Genomic DNA, 1,999 nt, shown 5'->3' with positions numbered 1-1,999 from the left:
TATTTATTTTTTTGAGACGGAGTCTTGCTCTGTCAACCAGGCTGGAGTACAGTGGCGGGATCTCAGTTCACTGCAAGCTCCGCCTCCCATGTTCAAGCGATTCTCCTGCCACAGCCTCCTGAGTAGCTGGAATTACAGGCATGCACCACCATGCCTGGGTAATTTTTGTATTTTTAGTGCAGATGGGATTTCGCCATGTTGGCCAGGCTGGTCTTGAATTCCTGACCTCAGCTGATCCACCCACCTTGGCCTCCCAAAGTGTTGGGATTACAGGCGTGAGCCACTGTGCCCAGCCTATTGTACTCCTTTTTATACTGTCTTTGACCATGTTGGCTCTCTTAGAAGCCACATCTGGATAAGCCAAGTTAAATTATATTAAATTTATGATCAACTAAAGCATCACAAGAAAATCTTCCAGGGATGATCACCTCATCCTGTAATGGTAAAACAGATATTTTGTTACATTTTGCCTTACTAAATTTTATCTTCTTGATTTTACACTTGCATTCAACACTGTCAAAGTATTTGGTTGGTGCAAAAGTAGTTGCGGTTTTTGCCATTAAAAATAATTTTAATTTTAAATAAAAAATTATTTTTAATGGCAAAAACCACTAGTGGCAAATACCACTAATGGCAAAAACCACAATTACTTTTGCACCAACCCTAATAATTTTGATTGTGGATTATGTTATCTTTTGTATTAGTTACTTCCAAATGTTTTGCATGATCTGAAAATCTTATATATGAAATGTTGATTTTTAGAAAAAATCTAGACTTTCATGGCAAACAGTTATCACTTGAAAAACAGTCATCACTTAGAGTGATGACTCACCAAGACCAAGTTATGTCACGCTTACCTCATTTCCTTTTCAGTAGGGTCATTACTCAGTTACAGGAATGCTACGCACAAACTGTACTTAACAAAATCTCTGATTATGTTGTTGGGAATAAGAATGTGAACTATAATCTTGAGGATGGTGTGTGCTAGGAGAAAGCTTATTCAACATCTCTACTCAAAAAATACTGATGAATGACTTCAGACCAAACTAGATGATGTCTGTATAGGAGCATACAGCAATTCAGCACTGGACCTTGTCTTGTTCAATTTTGCATCAAAAAAATTGCAATGTACTGTGCATGAATCATATATAATAGTATATTCTTACTCCCTCTAGAAAATTGGGATACTTGAAAAATCTCTCACACGCTTGCTGTTGTTCAAGAGTGCCTACGGTGGTTTTGATGTTGATCAAACTTACTACCTGAGATGCCATTCAGCTAGTGTGGAGATGTGAATACATGCAAAGTGTATGCTCTGAATTGCAATTCCTTCTTTATATTATTTACTCTGCCTGGTGCTTTCAAGTTCCCATTTTGTTTTTCTTCCTGGAGAAGACAGAAGCAAAATAGGAGTTGAGTGATTCTGCTCTCTGTCATTTGTTAAAGTGTATTCAACATTCCTCAACCCTCTGTGTGTTTATCTGTTTCTTCTTACTTTTCACAGTTTAAAAAAAATCCCTTTCTGTTGTTCTGACATTGTTTTCAAGTTTCAGCTCATTCTGGAATGTTGCGTGTCTGACATCATTTTACAGGTCTGAGCCACTTACTCAACCAGTTTATGGAGCACACATTCCAATGGAGGAAGATAGACAATAAACACCATAAAAAGGTGAGTTATATTATATATTATAAGGCAAGCGCAGTGGAAAAAATAGAGGATCACAGAGATTTGGAGTTCCGAGTTAGGGGCTGAGTTGCAGGTTTAAACAGGTGGTCAAGGTCTCCTGGATGGCCCAGCAGTGGGCTAATCCTTTGTGACCGATATTAATTACGTGTCTCTTTCTCCTTTTTATGCATAGGCACTTATGTTCTGAATCAATTGTAGAAAACAAGAGGCTGTCACGTTTATTACCCCTTCAATTTTCCACTAACAACCCTCTCTCTTTCCCATCTTCTTTCAGTTAGGGACTAAGATCCACAGACTAAACCTGTGTCCAGT

At 38.2% G+C, this 1,999-nt stretch overlaps 1 annotated feature.

The window, feature by feature from the left end:
• Positions 204-1,403: an enhancer, noted in NCBI's record as "P300/CBP strongly-dependent group 1 enhancer chr13:43336737-43337936 (GRCh37/hg19 assembly coordinates)". NCBI's record gives its function as "activates an origin of replication core promoter dependent on BRD2, BRD4, P300/CBP, MED14 and CDK7 cofactors, with strong dependence on P300/CBP, by STARR-seq in HCT116 cells {active_cell/tissue: HCT116}" and the evidence as "EXISTENCE:reporter gene assay evidence [ECO:0000049][PMID:35650434]".

Source organism: Homo sapiens, chromosome 13 (assembly GCF_000001405.40).
Source record: "Homo sapiens chromosome 13, GRCh38.p14 Primary Assembly".
NCBI lineage: Eukaryota > Metazoa > Chordata > Mammalia > Primates > Hominidae > Homo > Homo sapiens.
This window is presented reverse-complemented; position numbering and strand designations above follow the sequence as displayed.